The following is a 22247-nucleotide window of genomic DNA, read 5'->3' as shown; positions in this document are numbered from 1 at the left end:
GCCTGTAATCCCAGCACTTTGGGAGGCTGAGGCGGGCAGATCACCTGAAGTCAGGAGTTCAAGACCAGCCTAACCAACATGGAGAAACCCCGTCTCTACTAAAAATACAAAATTAGCCAGGGTGGTGGCTCATGCCTGTAATCCCAGCTACTCGGGAGGCTGAGGCAGTAGAATCACTTAAACCTCAGAGGCGGAAGTTGCGGTGAGCCAAGATCGTGCCATTGCACTCCAGCCTGGGCAACAAGAGCAAAACTCTGTCTCAAAAAAAAAAAGAAGAAGAAATAGATGGTTGTTTCACTAAATGATGAATATGCAAAACACATTTGAAGAGACAGGGAAGAATATGGTTTTGGACATATAAGTTTAATTACCTGCTAGACTATCAGATGGAAATATGTGGTAAATGGATGGAAACAAGGTACATAAACTTAGGAGGCAGAAATTTTTAAACTTTAGGGTTAGACATTCACCAGATTGGACAATTTTTAACATTTAAAATAAAACTTTTTGTCATAAAAAACAAATGTATTAAAACTAGTTTCCAGAACTGCCCAAATGACTTTTTAAACATGACTTAAATGTCGTTTTGACAAATCTATCCAAAATACTAATTTTCCTTTTAGAACTTAGTTTATAATTTATATATTAAAGTGCCCTTAATTGATATTCATTGGGATACCTTCCTCTGAGCCCTAATGGTTTTGGGAGGCCTAGGCGGTGGATCACCTGAGGTCAGGAGTTCGAGACCAGCCTGGCCAACGTGGTGAAACCCAGTCTCTACTAAAAATGCAAAAATTAGCCGGGCATGGTGGCGGGCGCCTGTAATCTCAGCTACTCGGGAGGCTGAGGCAGGAGAATTGCTGGAACCCGAGAGGCAGAGGTTGCAGTGAGTCAAGATCGCACCATCACACTCCAGCCAGGATGACAAGAGCGAAACTCAGTCTCAAAAAAAAAAAAAAAGTGCCTAAGTATCTTTTAATTAAGTTGTCATTCTCAAAGATATTCTGGAGCAAAAATCAGGAATTAAACATCTATAAATTCTTCTTCACTTCTGTTATAGTGTAGTAATTTATCATCTAACCCATAGTGGTCTATCAATTGAGTAAGGCTTAGTTTCTTGTTCTCTTCAGACACAGCTGACTGCAACTCATAAAGCAAGAGCTGGCTACAGCTTCTCCACTTCTTTATTAACAACTGTAACTGAGACAGATCATTCTGAAACAGAAAAAAAAACATGTATGTCAATAACTAGTCATGCTAGTTCAACTTAATTAAAGTTGTTAAATTAGTGGATGTGCAGGTTTAAAGGCTAACATACACAGGGATGAATGGGACTTCTATCTAGGAAAAAGTAGGATGGTCATATGTAGAATGGTTACAATGTCACTCAACTTGAGTTCTATGGCTATTTTGTTGGCTTAAGCTCTGGGCCATCTTTATGATAAGGGAAAAATCAAATCATTAAATAGGGCCAAAACTATGTCAAGAAGCAATAATACAGGGAAAAATCTACTGTATTACAACTGTACTTTTTAAAAAATGACACTATGCTTTCCACTAAATGTTGCTATGAACCTAAAACTGCTCTTTAAAATTACAATATTCAAGTTAAAAATATTTTTTTAGGCTGGGGATGGTGGCTCACACCTGGGATCCCAGCACCTTAGGAGGCCAAGGTGGGAGGACTGCTTGAGCCCAGGAGTTCAAGACTACACTGTGCAAAATAGCAAGACTCTATGTCTACAAAAAAATAATTTTAAAAAATTAGCCAGGTGTGATGGCACATGTCTGTAGTCCCAGCTACTAGGGAGGCTGAGTTGGGAGGATCACTTGAGCCCAGGAGTTCAAGGCTGCAATAAGCTATGACTGCACCACTGCCCTCCAGGCTGGGCAACAGAGACCATGTCTCTAAAAAAAGAATGAATAAATAAATAAAATATATTTTTTCAACATTCAATACTCCTAAATTTTATTTTTTAAAAACTCCAGAATTTCAAGAGAACAAATGAGATACACTATCCCATCACTTATTCCACGTAATTCAGGGAAAATGAGCTATTGCATATATATGAATTTTCCAGGTAATAAAGATTATTCTCCTTCCAAGTACCCAAGTTCTATTTAATTCAACCTATATGGGTTGAAATCTAAAATATAATATATATATATATATATTTTCTCAAATAAAATGGCTGAATCACATTAATTATTTGGGGGAGACACAAGATCATTACTAAAAATACCTTTTATTGTACTCTACAGCCCATTTTTAGTTTTACTAATTCACTGTCAGCTTTCACTTCTGTTCCCATTGTACTTGCATCTAACATTTAATACTTCTAATATTGCTGTGGGCTAGAAACTAGAGAGAAAAGTTTAACTGCATATTAAATCAGAGCTGAGATTCTTAAAAAGTTTTACCTGGTGTTTAAGGGCCTTTTCTACTCTAAATCTGGAGTTGAATTAAAGCTGTTGGAAGCCAGGTTTCTGAATATTTGGCTTATTGCTTATTATGGTAAAAAAAAAAATTCTATTTTTGAAATTACTTTCCTGTAATTTATGTAAAAATAAAAATTATGCAATGGTCCTGAAATTCTTCTCACCTTTGATCTATACATTTTGACTAGTTTTAGCCTCCGAAGAAGGTCTTCTTTCTCCTGAACCTGCTTCACCAATTTGGCTTTTTCAGCGTTTAATCTTTGTTTAGGAAGCTTCTCACTCACAAACTCATTTTGGAGAGCACTGCATGATCCAGAATCAAGTGACTGAGATTCACAGACATTGAGATTCTTCAAAGTATTTTTCAAATTTGTATTTTCTTCAAATTCACTGTCTATATGTTTAAAACTTTCTTGAAATTCCAAACAGTTTTCCTCTGTGGAAGATGCTGGTTTCTCTGAAAAGGTCTGATCATTTTCTTCACTCTCTACTTTAAGACGTTTCACCACATTGTAAGAGGAATTAAATGAAAATCTTGTTTTCCTTAATCTTTCTCTAAGTGTTGCACTCATAGGCTATAAAGAGCACAAAACATTAAAAATGTGAATCAAGAAAAACATTCTTAATGTCAATAAATCACCAGAAATAAAGTCCTTCCATTTCTATGCTAGACACCACTAGATGGCTTTCTGTCTCCACATCTAAAGAAGGCATCACAAAATGACTTTAATTTCTGGAAGCTCCATTTGTTTTATTTCCTTTTTACTTCAGCAAGATCAACACCTTTCCAAAAGTGTTGAGAAGTTTATCCCAGTAATCAAGGAACATTTGTTCAGTAACAAGCACATGCCTGATAGTACTCCAGGTGCTTCAGAATTACAGAGTAAGGAAAAGACCTAGACTCTGCCACTAAAGACCTTCATAATAATATTGCACAGATGCAAACTTTCTCCATCTGGAGTATTGTAATAACCTAATCTGAAACTAACTGAAATGAATTCATTCAAGAGGAAAATATGGAAGGGGGCTGGTGGGTGTCATATATGTCACCTTAGAAGAAAAACAAAATTATTTAATAAAATGTCTACTTATTTATGCTACACATTATGTTAATTAACAACCTTCCGTAGAATTTAAACCACCACTGCCACAATACTTAGAAACACATAATGGATCCACTGGAAGAACAAAGATTTTCATACTTGTTTTCGGGAACTATTTGTATAGGGAGATGATGGATTCGCAGAGGCCTGAGGAGTGCTAGGTAAAACCACAGCTGAGTCTGACGGACTTTCCATCTTGAAAGTGAAATCTTGGTTTTTCTCTAAAAAAGAAAAATTATAAAATAATCGAATTAACCACACCTCTCTATAGTCGACTTTTATCAAATAATATATTGTATTGGTGTACAAAGCATCCACAAGTAAGCCAGATATTTCTTCTAATTTCACTTTGTAATTCATTCTTGCTCTTTTTGCAGTTTTCCATTTACCTTCCCACATAGGGACCACTAAGTTTTTCATGATACATCAACCAGCTAGTATCTCATAGTCACAAGACTCTCCTTGTTTTCGTTTCATCCACCAAAATATATTCAAATTCTGCCTTGGAAGTAGGGAAGAATAACAGCTTTAGATAATCAGGAATTCTTTATTATGACAGCTTCATAATTCAAGAAGCTATAGCCGAAACCTTGACTCAAAAACAATAGGACCTGAATGTCACCCATCCTGAACTCTACAAGCTGTGACTAGAACCCGTTACCCTGCCGGCCCGAGGCATAAGAAACACAGCGGAGACGCATTTAAGCCCGTCTGTAGCCTTTTAGTTTAAGCGGCCAACAGGGACTGAAAAGGAGAGTGGACTGAAATTGCTTCCTCCGACAAAGGCATTAACTTTTGAGGGGTAAACTAGGGGCGGGAGTCGTCCCCTCCTTCCCCCCGTTGCAGAAAGCCCACTAGTTCCCCGGAGACCCCAGGCATAAGGTGAGGTTGAGTTCCCCAGACCCGGAAAGGGAGCTCAACTCGACTCCACAGCCGACTCCCGGGGAAGCCCAGGTGTCAGGGATCCCCCCTTCCCCTCAGCAGGGTACCTCCCTCCGCCATTCCCAGCGAGAGCAAAAAAGCGCGCGCACCTGCGGCCGTAAATCGATCCTGTGGCAGGGGCGGGGCCGTGCGGTAGGCGGAAAAGATGCGCAATTGGCCAGATTGCCTGACGCGCGAGGCGCCGCTTCACTCAGCGACTCAGAGCGGTGGGACTGCGCGCGCGCCTCCGCCAGCGGGTGGTTGGGGCGGGGCTTGGCCCACACGATGGGAGGCCCAGACGCATGATTGGCAGAATTAACCGGTGCGCGCGGCTCTCCCCGCCCAGCGCCCGAGAGCAGCGTGAGTGCGCGCGCGCGCGGCCGCGATCCGCAGCAGGTCTTCGGGGCGGGCGAGGCTGAGCTTCGGAATGTTAAACCAATCCTGAGGGGGGCGCGCTTCCGTTCGCGGCTTCTGTTGCCTTATTTTCAACCGCCTTCCCTTCAGGCTTCCTTGTTTTTGTGCGTCTGTGAAGTGCGCCTGAAAGTGCCTCTCCCCACCCCCGCCAGCCCGCCGCCTCCATTCTCTGGCTCCAGTCAGTCTCCTCTCCCTGCTAGTCACAGTGAAGGCTTTACTCAGACGTGGGGCGGCCAGAAGCCGCACGGCTGGCTGCATGTTAGATTTACAGCTTGTGGACTCCCCAGAGGCAGAGACCACAAAAGAACAGCGTTGGTTGGGTTCCAGCCTATTCCAGCGTGGTGGTTCCAGAGACCACAAAAGAACAGCGTTGGGTTCCAGCGTTGGGGTCCACATTTCAAACATGTTAGAAATCTATCCGAGAGTCCCGGCACTTTAGCTGAGCTCATCGCTAGCTTTTTTGGCTGCCGCAAACTCGGCGGTCCCGTCGCGAGGTTTTTTGTTGTTGTTGTAAACAAAAAACCGTTTCTGTACCTCAGTATGCAGGCTCCTTAGCGTGACCTCAAATCTTTTACTCAAATCTGAGGGAAAATGTAGCCCAAGGAAATTTGTTGTGGCGCAACACAGGAAGCAGAACAATCACTACATGAGATTGTGTCGGTCCAAAATTCACGTTTGAGACCGACAGGGCCCTTGCTGGCTACCGGGCAGCAGCATCCTCAGTCGAGAAAATCCCCCCCCCGCGCCCCGCTTCCAGTATGGCGAGGTTCTGTTGCTACGCGACGACAAAGTTAGCTACATTGGGTGGAGCACTGGGTTTAGTGAAAGAGTTGAGTAACTTCTGAGTCACGTGGAAGTTGGGAATTTCCAGGGGCCAGTGTTTTCAGTCCTCTTATTGAATGGCCATTTTAAACATTGATATCGTCTCTTTACTATTAATAACATCTGACAGTAGTGGCTTAGAAGTGGCCAAAAGGGAGTTACCTGAGTCTTAAGCAGTCAGGTATAATAATTACAGAACCTGAGGACTACCTAAGGGAATGATTAGGGGCGTACACGTTACAGTCAAATTGTCTAGGTTCAAATCCTGGCACCATACTTTATGTGCTTCTTAATGAGGTGATTCTGTGCCTCAGTTTCTTCACCTCTTAATATGGGATTGGAGAATTAAATGAGAACTGGTGAGAGGCAGCTGGAACAGAGCTAGGTATCTAGGAAGCACTCAGTAGTTATTTTATATATGCAAGTGTATTCACCATTCCCTAATGGATTTAAGGGAATGTATCACCTTCAGTTTCACCCCTTGATTTATCTCCCACCCCCCAAAAAAGCACATATATTTTAAAAAGATGCTGTGATCTGTAAGATCCCACACAATATAAACCATAAATAGCAGAAAATGTAGAGCCTCACATATGATTAATAATACATATTTCACTCCTAAAATTTTTTAAAATTACATAAGTTAACCCCAAGGAATTTACAAAGGGGAAGAGAGAACTCATGATTTTGTGATAAAGGTGTTACTCACCTCACCAAGCTGCAGGTCTCAGTCTGTACATTTATTTCTCCCTTTACTCATCCATTGGCATCAGTTAATCTCAAAGAAAAAGCAGAATGATTTGTCCTGACACTAGAAGCACAGTGCAGACTCTGCATATTCTTTATACCTCCCGGCATAAGGGCGAGTTGTTTTTATGAGTCTCTAAAATCAGCAGCTCCCAAATCCTTTTACCGTTACAACCTAAGCTTAGAGCTGTGTTTTTCCTGGCTGCAGAAAGGAAAACAACATTTTGCCTTGCAAATGTTCTGACTTGCTTATTATGTGAACTGGTATCTTAAAATGGGATTGTTTGGCCAGATTTTCAAAGAACTTCAGAACATATACTCAGAAAAACCCGTATTTCAGAAATGTGCATTTGTTGATCTACATCTCTGGCTTTCATGCATTATTAGAACTGAATTATCTCCCTGTACAGAAGTTTGTATTTTACTTAACCTTTTCACATAACAAACTGGAAATCCAGTTTCCTCTCGGCTTCATGTCAGAGATCTGGAATATAGCCCCCATACTTTTAATTGTACCTTTAGATAAAGCATAGCGTACATTTCAATGTCTTAAGTGACTTCAAATCTATTAGCCTGTGAAGACTTTGGTGTTTCTGACACAGGACATTGTATGTTTCGTATGAAACTTTTCAGGCAGGAAAAAATACTGGCCCAGTGAGCCAGGAAGCAAAGACTCCTTACCCTGCCATAGAGAACAATTTAAGCAGTAGACTCCAATAATAATAGTAATTAATATCAACTTAAGTCAGGCTTTCCTTGTGTTTTAAAATTTCTTCAATACCCAAGGCTACTGTTGGCTACTTTGTTACTCATCAGGGAGTGGTAAAATGCTTCGTTCTTGTCTGTAATTATTGTTGGTGGGATGATGATATAGACCTAAAATCTTTATGAGGTTTTACAAAAAAATTTTTTTTATTCTTATTCTTGTCTAATGGCAAGAAAAGAATAGTAAATAGTCTCTCAGTCTCTCTCTCTACCTATACAAAAAAGCACAAACACACGTACTTTTTAGCCATAATTAAAATGTTCATTTTAATTTTTAAATTCTCAGCTTTAGTATTATTTTTTAATCTTAACAATAGTCTCAAGCTAACTTAAATTATATTACCATAGACTTTTCTGTATTGACAAAAATTTTTGTGTCATGTAGACATAACTAGTATCCATAGGTTTTTTTTTAAAAGAAACGAATACATAGGCCGGGTGCAGTGGCTCACGCCTGTAATCCCAGCACTTTGGGAGGCCGAGGCGGGCTGATCACAAGGTCAGGAGTTCAAGACCAGCCTGGCCAATATGGTGAAATCCTGTCTCTACTAAAAATACAAAAATTAGCTGGGCGTGGTGGTGGGCGTCTGTAGTCTCAGCTACTTGGGAGACTCAGGCAGGAGAATCGCTTGAACCTGGGAGGCGGAGATTCGGAGATTGCAGTGAGCCGAGATCACACCGTTGCGCTCCAGCCTGGGCGACAGAGACTCCTTCTAAAAAAAAAAAAAAAAAGAAACAAAGATAAAAATATACGCTTCTGAAACTAGGATTAAAATCCACTTGGGTGAGGAATTGTGTAAAATCCACATGATTCTGTTGATTTATGATGTCCATTAGGACAAATTAAACAAACTAAATTTAATACAAATTTATAACACAAGAAAATCTGCCAAATTCTCTTAACTGACTTTCAACACTTCTTATGACATTTGTACATAAGTTGAAAATGCCCTTCAAAAACTCTTCTATGAGTTTCTCTTGCCATGAATTCAAGTCGCATCTTATAGACCCATCCATGGTAAAGTGATGTTTTAGTGCTGTGTAATTTCATAAATTTCTCTTTGAGAATAATTGACAAATATTTCTATTTTTTTCTCTATTACCTTAACGATCTCACATGGAATTCCATAATGTGTAATGGCTGCACTTGTAGAGACTTTGTTACCAAACATTGACCTTTATGATTTAACTATTTCATATTCTTTAGCCAAGATATGCAAGAGAGGGTTTTATTATCAACTTCAAGAGAAAAGGGCCCTTGACATAGCTGTTAGGCATGCCGGAGCGATTGCCTCACTGAGTAGGATGGTTACTTAGAACACGGAGATACGGAGAGGATCAGTATTATTAGCACAATGAAACCTTTCCATCACCAGGCAGCTAGAAAATGTATCTAATAACTAATATTCAGGACAATGTACTAAACAAGAACCTAAAAAGCTCCCTTCACCTGAATTTCCTGTCCTTTTATTCTCCCAGATCTGGCATTTTGTCAAATCCATTAGAGACTAGAGAGGCAATAGTGTCTATGATTCACTGCTGTTACTGGGTGTGTTCCCTTGGAGAAGAATAGAGTGATTCAGGTTAGATTAATAATGGTGAGGGAGAAGGTAGGGCAAGTGGGTGGAGGGGGAGGGATAGTGGCATAGGAGTTAGATTCTTAAAAGGTAATGGGAATAAAAGTACTGCTCAGGGCCATGTTCTTCTCAGACTCTTTATTAAATGTCACTCCTGCATTTATTTGGAGGAAAAAAAAAGCATTACATGTCAGCAAATCCTTAAGCAAGAGAACATGTCTTTTAATCATCTTTAAATACCTTGAAGTTTGAGGAAACAACCCCCAAGATAATTTCACAGTATTGAAATCTGTTTAAAGTGCCGACAAACAAGTCATCTCAGTTTTCTACCCTTGCCTCTCATTCCTGTTTCAGTCTTGAGGGTATAAAAGGTTTCTTCTTGGTGGTATTTTTTAGACGGGGGAGCAAGGGTGTTTAAAGGTGCCAGGAAAATAGGGAATTAAGAGACCATATTCTAGGATACTACTGATCTTCGTGCTTCTGCTCTTCCACCTCTTGGCAAACTTTGATGATAAGTATAGTAGAGAAAATCTGTGAATTTAGCCTAACCAGAAATTTTCTGGCTCACGTCAGGAGCTGAGAGCTAGAATGAAGTTTAATCCCTTTCCCACCACTCTACCAATCAGGAGAAAACACTACGTCTCCACTCCCAAAGGCAAAGTAACATTACATTAACACCATCAACCTTTAGGAGCAGCGTCAAACCTGCTGAATGCAGAGCCCCTGACCAGAACTTCTGAAGCCCCCGTGAGGACCAGGTGGAGAGGCATGATCAAAGACGGGCAAGGTGGCTTGAGCAAAGACACCTCTTCATGGATCCTCTCCCTTCCACCTGCAAGATTGTGTCGAGTGCTCATGTCCCCCATACTGTGTCTAAATTATACCACTTGTCAGTGACAGCAACATCACTCAGCTCTCCACCTCCATGACACATCTGTGGCTACCCACATATAATGTATAAAGTTTGATGATGATGCTGGTGATCCTCAACTGGCAAGTGATATTATTACTTTTTGATACTAAAAATATGTCTTTCTTACAGATACTAAAAATATGTCTTTCTTACAGAAATAGGATCTTGGAAAAGAAGTATAGAATAAAAAATCATTCACTCTGACATAGTCCTCTAAGATTTCACCCAGCTATTTAGACTTTATTAGCACAAGATTAAGACAGATAATACTTTTCCTTCAACAATGTAAACCTTTAATTCAAACCTTTCCAAACTGTCCCACCCCACAAAGTTTCCCCTTATGTTCCACTCTGGTTGTTATATCATCTATCAAGCACATTATCTAAGCTATTTTTCACTTGATTTAAGTACCTACCTCTGAGTCAACTTGTCCTCTTCTTACAGCCACTTTGAAACCTTTCTTTTATTATTATTATTTTAATCAAGAGAAGGGTGATTTAAACAATTGTTTTCTAACACTCCCTACTACATGGGAATGATGGCTTAATATATCTCCATTTTACTGTTTACTCCCTTTCTTCTGCTCTGGTATGACATGAATCTACACCCTTTTATGAATGCTGGATATTGAAAACACACCTCTGTTGCTGAAGGTCTGGTGTGAAGGGAATTCATACTAAGCACAGGAATAACACCCACCAGCAAAGATGGTCTTTAGGATGGTCAGGCTTTTGGAGGCCTGTCATTTGGCAAACAGCATCCCATGATACCAAAGAATACAGGTTTGGGTTTTGGAGGCCAGGCAACTAATTACGTCCAGATTTGTTAAGCAAATTCCTATGAAACTATGAGGTACCGATAGGTTAAAAAAAAAAAAAAAAAAAGCAAGCATTACTACAGGTTGGCATTGTCTGAAATGCTTTCCTAGTCTAACTCTGGAGAATTAAAATAGAGATTTTAAACCTGCATGTACAAGTTTAGGATTTTTGTAAAGCTGCCAAATCTTTAATGTAACAATAATTAGCATAAAGCTTGTGTAATTAAGTTGCCCTGAAAAGAATGAGTTTGAATCTTTTGCAAGATGTCTCTCTTATTTAAAAAAGCAGTTTTACCAGTATATATTATTTTCACTCAGAGCTGTTTCCCACAGGTTTTGAAGAGATGTAAAGCTGACTGTGTTTTATTTCAGTAATTGTCTGCAAGGATAGCAGTTTATTTTCAGTCACTAGTTTTTGGAATGAATCAATCAACCACATTTGCCCACCAATATGTCTATGAATACTTTTCATTTTTATAGTTGAGAAGAATCAGTTTTATTGCTCCCCTCAATCTAGATAAAATTCCTTCGTGCTCAGAATGGGATTAAGTCCCCAAATCAAATGTGAGAAAGAGAAATTCAGACATATCAAGCACTAGATGCAGTAAGCCAGTACCTATAGTGACTTGATTTTGATGGGTAAAAAATAGCATGTAATCACAGGTTTGAACCACTACAGGTAAGAATTACATGGACTAATGAGAATACTTATGAAGCTGAAATTAAACATTTGCATACTAACTAACAGTTCTCAAGGCAAGTCTTAGAAACCCCTCAACTTCCAATCAATAACTGCTCAAACTGAGATTACAGGAAGCTTTCTTGGACTACTGTGTTCATAACTGAAGTCAGTTGTCTTGAGTGTTCAAATATTTTCTGCCAAGAATTGTGCAGGAGGAGAGGGAAGAATTGAGGAGGTAGGGGCAGTAGGGAAGGAAGGGAGGGAAGGGGGCTATATTTACTACATGTTTCTTGCCCTTAAGCAGAACAAAAACTAGTGTTCCAAAATGATGTTTTTCATAACAAATTACTGATTACTAGGCTTGTTTACTCCATACTAAAGTTATTCTGCAGATTTGACCTGGGTTTTAAGGCCTCAGCATCAGCTCAAACACCAAGAATCCTGGGCACGCTTAATTTGGGCTAAATTCTGACAAAGTCATGATTTCTTTCTTAATGAGAAATGTATTCGTCATGTTCTTAAGGCCTTTTGATACATTTGAGTTAAAAGGATTATGGAAGTTCAAGATTTTGTGTTTAATACAGGTATAAGCATGCATTACAGATACATGTGTACTTTCTTAGCACTGGTGGAATATTATAATGATCAGGTTAAACTTGATTATACCTTGTAACTTAGATAAGCCATTTCACAGTAGGTGAAATTTTGAATGAGTAAAGCCATAAAGCCACAGACCTTACTTATTTGTTTTTTTTTTTTTTTTTTCATTCCAAATCTTGTCTTTGTTGAGTTTTTTTGCTGTATGGAGTCAATTGGGGATGAAATGGGCTGTGGTCACAAACTGTGAAGGTGAGGTTGCTTAAATCTGTACTAAACATGAGATAATCATGGGTTGTCAGTTTAAATTGAGGAAAATTGGGAAGTCTTTGGAATTTTTGTTTGAATACAAGTTTTGGTGAATAAAAATGACACTCATTGATGTTTACAACATTTTTCTCCAAGTCATTCATTCTCTTGGAAATATGGCTGCAGCAAGGGATAGGCCTGAGTCAGAGCATCTGAGTTATTTACTGACCCTATCACTAAAAACTAACGAGCTGTATTGACTTTGGGGGGTTCAATTCAGTTTTCTCATCTATAAATTGTGAAGAGAAAAGTGATCTTTCCCTGGCTCTGAGTTAGTTCCTACAATTCCAGGTGGGGTCATTTTGGTACACCTGAAATTACCACTTCCCACCAGAGTGTTAAATGAAGTTACGGGTAAAATTCTCTATAGAAATAACCATTATGATAATATGATGGAAGATGTATTAGGTGCTGTAGACGGAAAAATAAATATATTCTTTAGGAGTTTACAAATGGACACCAGTATTTATCACATTGATTAAACCAGAGCCAGCTCTGGGAAAAACTAGCACACAGAAGTTTTTGTTTTTTTTTTTCCAGTGACCTTTCTTTCCTCTTCGCAGGCCTCCCACATTATCCTAATCGAACCCTTTCAAGCCCAGGGTTTTAGGCTACTCTCATCAACCACCTCTTGCCATTGCAGGGCATACTCCAAGTTATTTTGCTTACTTGTACTGTCATCTTCTGGAACTCATGTCCCTGTCTTTATTAACACTGGATGCATAGAGTTGGTGCTCAATAAATGTTTTGAATGGGTGAATTTCAGAATGAATTGATTAATTATTTAATCAGTAATTCAGAAAGTGAGCATCCCAAAATAAGAAGAGGAAGTGATGCTGTAGCAGTCTCCAGGGAAGAATATTTTTGATGCAACTGATACCTTGTGTAACAGCTTCTCTAAGGGGAAAACTGTTCCTCAAATCTAATATAAACCGTTCAGCTGTATGTTTTCTAATTATTTCTTATCATTGCTTTGTATTGTTCTGTCATTGGACCAAGGAAGATTACTTTTACCAGACTAGAAACATACAGGAAACATGTGGTTCCTTTCCAGATGATGATATTGGCCATCTTTGAAAGTGGTGCCTTTGTTCACAATGGGATGGGTTTTAACAGCTTTGTCTTTTCTCCCCCTTACCCAAATCTTCTGTGAGAGGTAGTATAATTTTTAGTCTGTGTAGCCAGGAAATAGAGTGAAAGTAAATTAAGTTTGTGGAAACCAACCATAACTTCAGCCTAAGGAAAACAAGTCAGATATTACAGCAGGAAATAGATATATGTTGGGTGGTATACAAAGAATACTAATTTTTATTCCACAATGCATACATGTATCAAAACATCACATTGTACCCCGTAAATATATACAATTATTATTTGTCAATTAAAGTAAAATAAAAGTTTAAAAATGAATCCTGATTTTATTAATTCTGCAAACTGTGCTGTATACCTGTAGTACAACTTCTGAAAAAGGTGGAGAAATGTGCATCCTTTCAGGGATAACATAACAAGGTAAATAAGTTTAATTTTTTTATCTGAAAAATTGAGGTTACTATTTGATTTTCTTCATTTCTCCACTTTATTTGCCTGCATATGTCCTGTCTCTCACTCCTCTTCAACATCACTGCTGCTGTTCGAGCTCAGGTCCAGCCTGCCTGCCTGCAATAGCCTCCTGACTGGTTTCCTGACTTCTGGGTTTTTCTTCCACTTTTCCTATACCATCCCATTTCTCATGCCCATCAATTCTCTACACTGCTGCTAGAAAGATCTTTTTAAAGATATTAAAATCTTCCAATAACTCTCAATTCTCTTTAGGATAAATCCAAATTCCTTACCAAATCACTCATGCATATCTTTCCAACTTCATCTTGTGCCACTCCCTGCCACCCACCCTGCACACCAGCTTTACCGAATTATGTGCTTAAAATTCCCAGAATGGACCAAGCTCCTCTCCTTATCATCTTGCTACTTCCTTCTGCCTGGAAGACACAGGCATGTGTATGTGTGTGCGCACACACACAAATGTACACACACATATGCTTTCATCACCTGGCTAATGTCTACTCCAATCTCAAGATTAGGACCTTGTGTCAAAATCCCCACTCCCTCTCACTTGCTTCCCAATGGCCCACATTCTCCTTTTATTCTTTTCCTCCTCAGAATCTTCTGGCTAGAGTTAGATGCCTTTCCTTTTCCATGGTACCCTGTAGGTGTCATAATACATATTTACCATGAGCTATTTGAGAACAGGAACTGTGTCTTTGATCTCTATATCTGCAACCCCCACAACAAAAAGCTTAGCAGATTTTTTTTGGGTTCAAGCAGAAGATGAAGTGCTAAGAATACACAGGGAAAGTCCTAAGGGAGTTCAGAGAAGATTGAGTCAAGGAAGACTTCGTGGAAAAAATGGTATTTGAGTTGTATTTTATTGTCGCCACAATAATCTCGATAGACTCTTTTCGCTTTTCAATCAACATTTTTAAAAAATTGTTAAAACTAACTCTGTAAAATATATTCTATAAGTATACAAACCTGGTAACAGAACACAGATCTCCCTTGGGTGATATAATAATAGATTTATGATTGAGAGGTTTTTAAACACTTTCCTAAGGGCTGATTGACAGGTATATATAACATCATAGGTTGGTATTTTCCACTCTTATTGGGTCATAGAGAAGAAAGCACAAGGTAGCAGTTAAGGGAATGTACACTAGAGTTAGACATACCTGGATTTAAATCTCAACTCTGCCCTTATAAAGTCTATTGATGATAATCTCCCTAAATGTTTCCTCATATACTAAACGGGGTAATAATATCTACTCCATTAAATGTGATGCTGCAAATAAAGCGATTAACACAGAACTTGGCATATAGTGACACTCAACATAATGGTGGTGAAGGTCGTTGTGGTAGAAGTGGTGGTTACCTTGAAGCCAGGGATGGAGATAGGTGGATGGGGCAGTACAAGAGAGAGATGCTTGATGACAGTTTTCTTATCTCTTTCATTTAGGCACAATGTCTCAAATTGTGCTCCAAGGGCACAATGGTTCTATGAACTGGTCTAAGGTGTTTCACAGGTAAAATAAAATTAAGGTGATATTTTCCAGGCTTGTAGAAAAAATTAAAAAGAAGTAGAATGTTTTCTATTTTAATTTTTTTCGATGTCCTTTCCTTAAAACTTTAGTGTCTGCAAGTGGATGACAGCAGATAACAGAATGGATAGTTTACAAATAAATATTAAGAAGAAAGATCAGTAAACTGATTTATTTAGTTTTAGTTTTTGTTTTTTTGAGACAGGGTCTCACTCTTTCACCCAGGCAAGGCTGCAGTGACACGATCATGGCTCACTGTAGCCTCAACCTCCCAGGCTCAAGGAATCCTCCCACCTCAGCTCTCCAAGTAGCTGGGACTATAGGTGCATGCCACCATGTCAGCTAATTTTTTTTTTTTTTGAGACAGAGTCTCGCTCTGTAGCCCAGGCTGGAGTGCAGTGGTGCGATCTCAGCTCACTGCAACCTCTGCCTCCCAGGTCCTGCCTCAGGCAATTCTCCTGCCTCAGCCTCCTGAATAGCTGGGATTATAGGCACGCACCACCATGCCCAGCTAATTTTTGTATTTTTAGTAGAGATGGAGTTTCACCATGTTGGCCAGGCTGGTCTTGAACTCCTGACCTCGTGATCTGCCTGCCTCAGCCTCCCAAAGTGCTGAGATTACAGGCATAAGCCACTGTGCCTGGCCCATGCCAGCTAATTTTTTTAATTTTTGTAAAGATGAGGTCTCACTATGTTGTCCAGGCTGGTCTCGAACTCCTGGTCTCAAGTGATATTCCCTCCTTAGCTTCTCAAAGTGCTGGGATTACAAGTGTGAACCACCATGTTCAGCCTGATTTATTTTAAATGTTTGTTCAACATTCAACAAATATTTATTTTTTAAAAGGTTGTGTGTGTATCTGTTTTGTAAAGATTCATACACATGTAATTTAGTCATTTTTCTTGCTAGTATTATTGCTCCTAGTTCATTCAACAAAACCAAATATGGCTGCATTTCATGCTGTTCTGCAAAGAGCACCATGACGTCCCCATGCTTGACCAGGAGTATGTGATCTGCTAGCCATCATCCCACTGTCTGAAGCTTTGGAGCCCTGGTTTTTAAGACATACTTTAGATTTTATTGCAATTTCTATGGAAAGCCCAATCATTCCTTTCCTCATTCCTCTTACATTAGAGGAGCACTTCTTTACAGATACAGATTTTAAAAACAAAGAAAATCTTTGTTGCTGCATGTATTATTTGTGCCATATACCATGAATAAAAGAGTACGTCTATACCTCCTGGAGTCACTGTCCATTGGGATATTCCAAAGAGTTGGAATAAGAACACATGGGAAATAGAAAACATACCCTGCTCCAGCCATACTCTGTACAAGTCATCCCCAAGAAGAGAAAACCAAGCTGTTCACAGTTAATGATTGAACAAGGTTTGGAAACCACAGATGATTAATTCTTGACTCATCTTCCTCTCAGAAATCCTCTGAGACTCAGAGTAACTTGTCTATTGCTTGTTCTTGATAAGGAATGAATCTAGAACATTTCTATGTGTTGACAAGCCTGACAGATTTCTGAGGACTGTAGGGAGTCAATCTGTCAAATAACCCTGGGCAGCTCTCATATCATGGTATGGCTCAGTGTTACTTCTTCCGTGTTTATCCTAGTAAGTCTTCTATGTTTATTCAGAGGTATGGAAGATAAGAGATTGGGAAGGCTCATTATCCAGACACAAATGGAAAGGCTTAAAGGACATGGCATACGTTTTTGGACCCAAGTCCAGTTTTTCCAGGTGGTCTCACCCTGCTGAGGGTCTGGATGAACCTTACTTCAGTTTAAATGAAGTTTCATTCTAGCAAGTGGTTATTTACATTCAGGAAGCTATCATAGTCATAAATTTAATTGGTATTTTTATTAATTGTTTGTCTCAATTGCTGGCTTTACTGCATTAAAGTGAATCTAATATGTGAACAAAAGCTAGGAATAGCAACCCATCTTCCTAATGCTTCTGTACCTAGACCACAGTTGTATTCATTTTAAAAAATCTAGATGGTAAGCTCTGGTTTGAAACAAGAATAATTCAAAACGCTTTTGGAAAAGTTTCCTGGAAGACTCATCTTCTTTATTGTAGCTATGTGAACCCTGATATTGTTAAATATACCACAAAGAAATCCTTAAGTCCACAAAATCTTTTTCTACACTTTATCAGCTTTGCACTTAAGGAATTAGAATCTTAACATTTTTTATTCCTAAACAAAAAAACTAGTCAAATCTCTAATGTATACAAAGAATGACCAAACTGGGTTTATTACAGGAGTGCAAGGCTGGTTTAATATTTGATTATCAACATATTAACAGAATAAAAAAATTGAAAGTTATATGACTATCCAAATAGATGATTAATAAAAAGCATTAATAAAGCTCAACATTCATTCATGTTTTTTAAAAAAGCAAACTAGTGATTAAAAGGAACTTCTTTATATGATAGATTTAATCAAAAGATCTACGATAAATGTAGTAATGAAATGTTGAAAGTTTTTCCCCTAAACTTGAGAATAATAAGGATGCTTGTTATTATCATTTCTATTCATCATTGTACTGAAGCTCCTACAAAGTATAATAATAAGAAAAAGATACAAAATGAATAAGAATTGGAAAGGAAAAAATAAAACTCATTATTTGCAGGAGATATGATTGAGTATATACAAAATCTGAAAGAATATACAAATAAATTGTTCAAAGTAATATGTGAGTATAGCAAGTTTACTACATACAAGGTGAATATAGTAAAAAAATCTATTAGACTTCTAAAAGAAAATAAAATTTCAAAAGACATTGTTTCCAGTAGCATCAAAAACATGAAATACCTAGGAAAGACATAAAACCTCTACACAGAAAACTATGAATGATGAACTATAAAACATAAAAATGATGTATTTATAAAACATGTAAGTATATAAATGATAAACATTAAAACATAAAATATATGTTCATAACGCATATAAACTATAAAATACATAAAACACTAAAACATTATTACAAAAAATTATAGACCCCAATAAATGGAGGCATAGACAGGGTTCATGAACTGGAAGACTCTATGTTTTACAGATGTTGATTCCAGCTTGAGCACAGTGGCTCATGCCTGTAATCCCAGCACTTTGGGAGGCCAAGGCAGGCAGATCACTTGAGGTCAGGAGTTCAAGACCAGCCTGGCCAACATGGTGAAACCCCATCTCTAGTAAAAATACAAAAATTAGTCAGGCATGGTGGCACACACCTGTAACCCAGCTACTTAGGAAGCTGAGGCAGGAGAATTGTTTGAACCCAGGAGGCGAAAGTTGCAGTGAGTGGAGATCACGCCCAGCACTCCAGCCTGGGCAACAGAGCGAGACTCTGTCTTAAAAAAAAAAAAAAGATGTTGATTCCCCTCAAAATGATACATGGATTTTGTGCCATTTCAATTTTTAAAAATTCTTGACAGGTGTGTGTGTGTGTGTGTGTGTGTGTGTGTGTGTGTGTGTATACGTATGCAATTGACAAGCTGATTCTGAAGTTTAAAATGCAAAGACCCAAGAACAGCCAACATGTCTTGAAAAAGAACAAAGGGGGAATCACTTGCTTTACTAGATATCTTAATAGCTAGGCAGTGTGGAATTAGAGCAAAGATAGATGAATAGCAGTGAAACAAATAGAATCCAGTAACATACCCTTGCATGTGTAGGGACTTCATTTGTGATAATGGTGGCACTGCAGAGAAATGAGGGAAAGAATTATCTTTTTATAATGGTTGTAGGTCAATTGAATAGTCATATGGAAAAAAACAAAACTTGACCTATACCTTACATCATACACAAAAATCAGTTCCAAGAAGTTCTAGACCCAAATGTGAAAAAAAAATTTAAGTGACAACTTAGGAGATTTATACAAAAGAATATCTTCATGACTTTGGGAAATAGAAGGATTTCTAAAGTAGAACACAAAACACACTGATCATTAAGGAATTAATTAAGTGGACTGTATTAAAATAAAGAATTCTGGGCCAGGCACAGTGGCTCACACCTGTAATTCCAGTGTTTTGCAAGGCTGAGGCAGGAGGATTGCTTGAGCCCAGAAGTTTAAGAACTGCCCGAGCGACATAGCAAGACCTCATCTTAAAAAAATTTTTTTTTAATTAAGAATTCTGTTTATTGAAGACATTTTTAAAAGTTGAAATGGGAGCCACAGACTGGGAGAAGGTATTTACCACATATATAGCTGATAAAGCAAACGAATAAGAAAAAGACAAACAATCCCAACTTTAAAATGGCCAAGAGAATTGAATAGGCACTTCACAAAAGAGAATATCCAAATGATAGCCAATCAATGTATGAAAATATAGGAAACCTCATTAATAATCAGGGAAATTCAAGTTAAAACCACAAACAAATACCACTACACACCCACCAAAATGGCAAAAATGAAAAAGATTAACCATAACAAGTGTTAATGTGGAAATAGAGCAACTGGAACTATTGCGGAAAATCTGGCATTATTTACTAAAGTTAATATATGTACCCTAATATTCAGTAAGTATACCCCTAGGTATAAATCCAGTGAGAATTTTGTACATATACTCAACAAAAGACATGTCCAACAATGTTTGTAGCATCATTTGTCATAATAGTCAAAGTCTGGAACTAACTCAAATGCCATCGACATTGTGAAAGCAAAATAAATCTCAAGACCCCAAAATCACTAAGCCAAAGGGAAAAGTCATGCTGGGAACTGCATCAGGCAAACCTGCCTCCCATTTTATTTCTAAAAAGAGAGCTATAAAGATTAAAAAAAAAAAAAAAAAGCTACGTACCTTCCCCACATTTTGCCCACTAGGAAATTCCTTGTGGGCCCTAAGGTCTTTACCCTAAAATGGTTCTGTTGAATTTTACCCTGACAATGTATATTGATTGCTTATCTTCACAGGTGCGGGGCAGAACTGGGAAGTCATCCCTCTGCTCACCTGACACAAATGCATTATCTGACTGCTTCCTCTAATGTAAAATGCAGATTCACTGAACTAGGTGAATGTATAAGTGACTATTTCTCTACCCACCTCTCACATGTAAATTGTTATTTGGTCAAAGGCTGATCAAAGACTCAAAAGAATGCAACCATTTATCTCTCTTATCTACCCACATCTTTTACAAATGTCTTCCTCTTTCCCCAGTATCCACCCTTTCCCCTTTAAATATTGATGCCCTCAAAATCATGTTTGGAGAAAGGTACAGGCCTACTTCCCTGGCACGCATCCTGAACCTTGGCAAAATAAACTTTCTAAATTGATTGTGACCTGTCTCAGATACTTTTGGTTTACAACATAGAATATATAATAAATTTAATGTAATACATTCATACAGCAGAAAACTTCACAGCAACAAAAATAAATTACACACAACATGGATGAATCTCATAAATATAATGTGAAGCAAAGGAAGCCAGATACAAAAGATTACACACTATGTGATTCCGTTTTACTATTTCAAAAGCAGACAAAATTAATTTATTGTGTTAAATGCTTCTAAAAAGTGGGCTTCTGAGGTGCTAATAACATTTTATTTCTCGCCCTAAGTGGTGGTACGTGGGTGTGTTCACTTTGTGATTATTCATAAAACTCTATACTTATAACTAAAATATCTCCCTGTATGTGTATTATTCTTCCATATTTTAAAAAAGTATTTTTAAAATGTCTCAAGATTTATTCCTTTTTTGAACTTAGACTTTTTGAGGCAGCAACAATAATATATGTTAGATACATATTTTACATATAAAGTGTTTTTCTCTTTGTTTTGTTAATACACTTTATTTTTTACAGCAGTTTAAGGTTTACAGAAAAATGGAGCAGAAAGTGTGAAGAGTTCCCATATAACCCTTTACCTCTACCCCCAAACACAGTTTTCCCTACTAATAGCAACTAGCATCATTACTGTGGTACAATTGGTGAGACAATATTGATACATTATTATTAACTAAGGTCCATAATTTACACTAGAGTTCACTCTGTATTGTACATTCTATGGATTTTGACAAATGCCTAGTGATACATATCTACCATCACAATTTGTTAGTGTTTGGTTTCTAAATTCATACCATTTCCATAATAATTATTCCTTCACATTACTGATTGATTTTATCTTCTTTATAATTAGTGCTATTTCTGAAAGAGGATGCACATTTCTTTTTATGCCATTAGCCAATGGCTTAAGTCAAGTAACATCAAGCTAAGGATTTAAGGCCAAGTTCTTGGGCAAAAGATTTACCCAGGCCTAAAATTTCTAGAATAGCCGACTTTCCACTTACCTTTGGTAGTTAGAAGATGTGTCAACATTATAGTGAAAGATTCTATTACAATGCTTCAGGGAAGACCTGCCATGGGCCATTCTACCCTTGGCCTCCACATTAGGGATCACTGAGTCATGCTCTGAATCAACATAAGACTCAAGAGAGGATGTACAAGCCCTGCTCCAGCACAGTTGTCTCAAAAGGTCTAGTACACTTTAATAAGCAAAGATCAACCACATCCAACCTGGAGTGGGTCTCACAGCAAATTTCTTCCCCTGCTCCTCCCTCTGTATTCGAAGCATCTCAGAAATGACTAACACCAAGTAAGGAAAGGAAGACAACTGTTCTCACCTGTCTTAGTTCACAAAGAAGAAGCAGGTAGCAGTGGCTTCTAATAAATACTCAAGACTAAAGGAAAAACTCTAATGACTGCATTTTAGTCTTAGAGTGAACTCCGTTGGACCTGTAACTATGAGCACTGGATAAGAGACAAACCCACTTATTAGTCCTTAAATATAACAACATACAGTGAGTCTTGATTATATGTTGGAAGAAGAGAAAGCAGATGTACTCAAAGATGTTTTAAAACAACCAAAACTGAACTCCAGCCTAGGCAACAGTGAGACCCTATCACAAAAACAAAAACAAAAACAAAATGAAACCACAACCAAAACACTTGTCACACAAACAAAATCCACAAATAGAACTGATGAATTGTAAAGTCAAGAAAAACATCAAAGGCAGCTCAAAGTTGTCATGAGTTGGGCTTGCCAACATTTTAAA

The 22247-nt window shown here is 38.1% G+C and overlaps 1 protein-coding gene across 6 annotated transcripts, besides 5 other annotated features; it reads right to left on the bottom strand.

Moving 5' to 3' along the window:
* Positions 1-344: 344 nt before the first annotated feature.
* On the bottom strand, positions 345-6562 carry SFR1 (SWI5 dependent homologous recombination repair protein 1). Of its 6 annotated transcripts, none has more exons than NM_001384830.1 (4): positions 6409-6562; positions 3642-3763; positions 2604-3014; positions 345-1215 (listed from the first exon to the last, which is right to left on the bottom strand). In NM_001384830.1, exons 2-4 carry the CDS (start codon positions 3735-3737, stop codon positions 1024-1026), a joined length of 699 nt encoding a protein of 232 aa, NP_001371759.1. In that variant the 5' UTR covers positions 3738-3763; positions 6409-6562; the 3' UTR covers positions 345-1023. The 6 variants fall into 6 exon arrangements, with proteins under 6 accessions (NP_001371759.1, NP_660290.3, XP_047280535.1 ...); NM_145247.5 differs by lacking the exon at positions 6409-6562 and adding an exon at positions 4574-4620; XM_047424579.1 differs by lacking the exon at positions 6409-6562 and adding an exon at positions 3932-4557.
* Positions 4476-5139: an enhancer, noted in NCBI's record as "H3K27ac hESC enhancer chr10:105881347-105882010 (GRCh37/hg19 assembly coordinates)". NCBI's record gives its function as "activates a minimal SCP1, AML or CMV promoter by ChIP-STARR-seq in naive H9 embryonic stem cells {active_cell/tissue: H9 hESC(naive)}" and the evidence as "EXISTENCE:reporter gene assay evidence [ECO:0000049][PMID:30033119]".
* Positions 4562-4791: a silencer, noted in NCBI's record as "silent region_2795". NCBI's record gives its function as "represses an Ori minimal core promoter by ATAC-STARR-seq in GM12878 lymphoblastoid cells {active_cell/tissue: GM12878}" and the evidence as "EXISTENCE:reporter gene assay evidence [ECO:0000049][PMID:35858748]".
* Positions 5032-5081: an enhancer, noted in NCBI's record as "active region_3978". NCBI's record gives its function as "activates an Ori minimal core promoter by ATAC-STARR-seq in GM12878 lymphoblastoid cells {active_cell/tissue: GM12878}" and the evidence as "EXISTENCE:reporter gene assay evidence [ECO:0000049][PMID:35858748]".
* Positions 5295-6494: an enhancer, noted in NCBI's record as "P300/CBP strongly-dependent group 1 enhancer chr10:105879992-105881191 (GRCh37/hg19 assembly coordinates)". NCBI's record gives its function as "activates an origin of replication core promoter dependent on BRD2, BRD4, P300/CBP, MED14 and CDK7 cofactors, with strong dependence on P300/CBP, by STARR-seq in HCT116 cells {active_cell/tissue: HCT116}" and the evidence as "EXISTENCE:reporter gene assay evidence [ECO:0000049][PMID:35650434]".
* Positions 5712-5811: an enhancer, noted in NCBI's record as "active region_3977". NCBI's record gives its function as "activates an Ori minimal core promoter by ATAC-STARR-seq in GM12878 lymphoblastoid cells {active_cell/tissue: GM12878}" and the evidence as "EXISTENCE:reporter gene assay evidence [ECO:0000049][PMID:35858748]".

This window comes from Homo sapiens, chromosome 10 (assembly GCF_000001405.40).
Source record: "Homo sapiens chromosome 10, GRCh38.p14 Primary Assembly".
In the NCBI taxonomy this organism is placed as follows: Eukaryota; Metazoa; Chordata; class Mammalia; order Primates; family Hominidae; genus Homo; species Homo sapiens.
The sequence above is the reverse complement of the archived record's forward strand: the minus strand, read 5'-3'. Positions and strand labels throughout refer to the sequence as shown.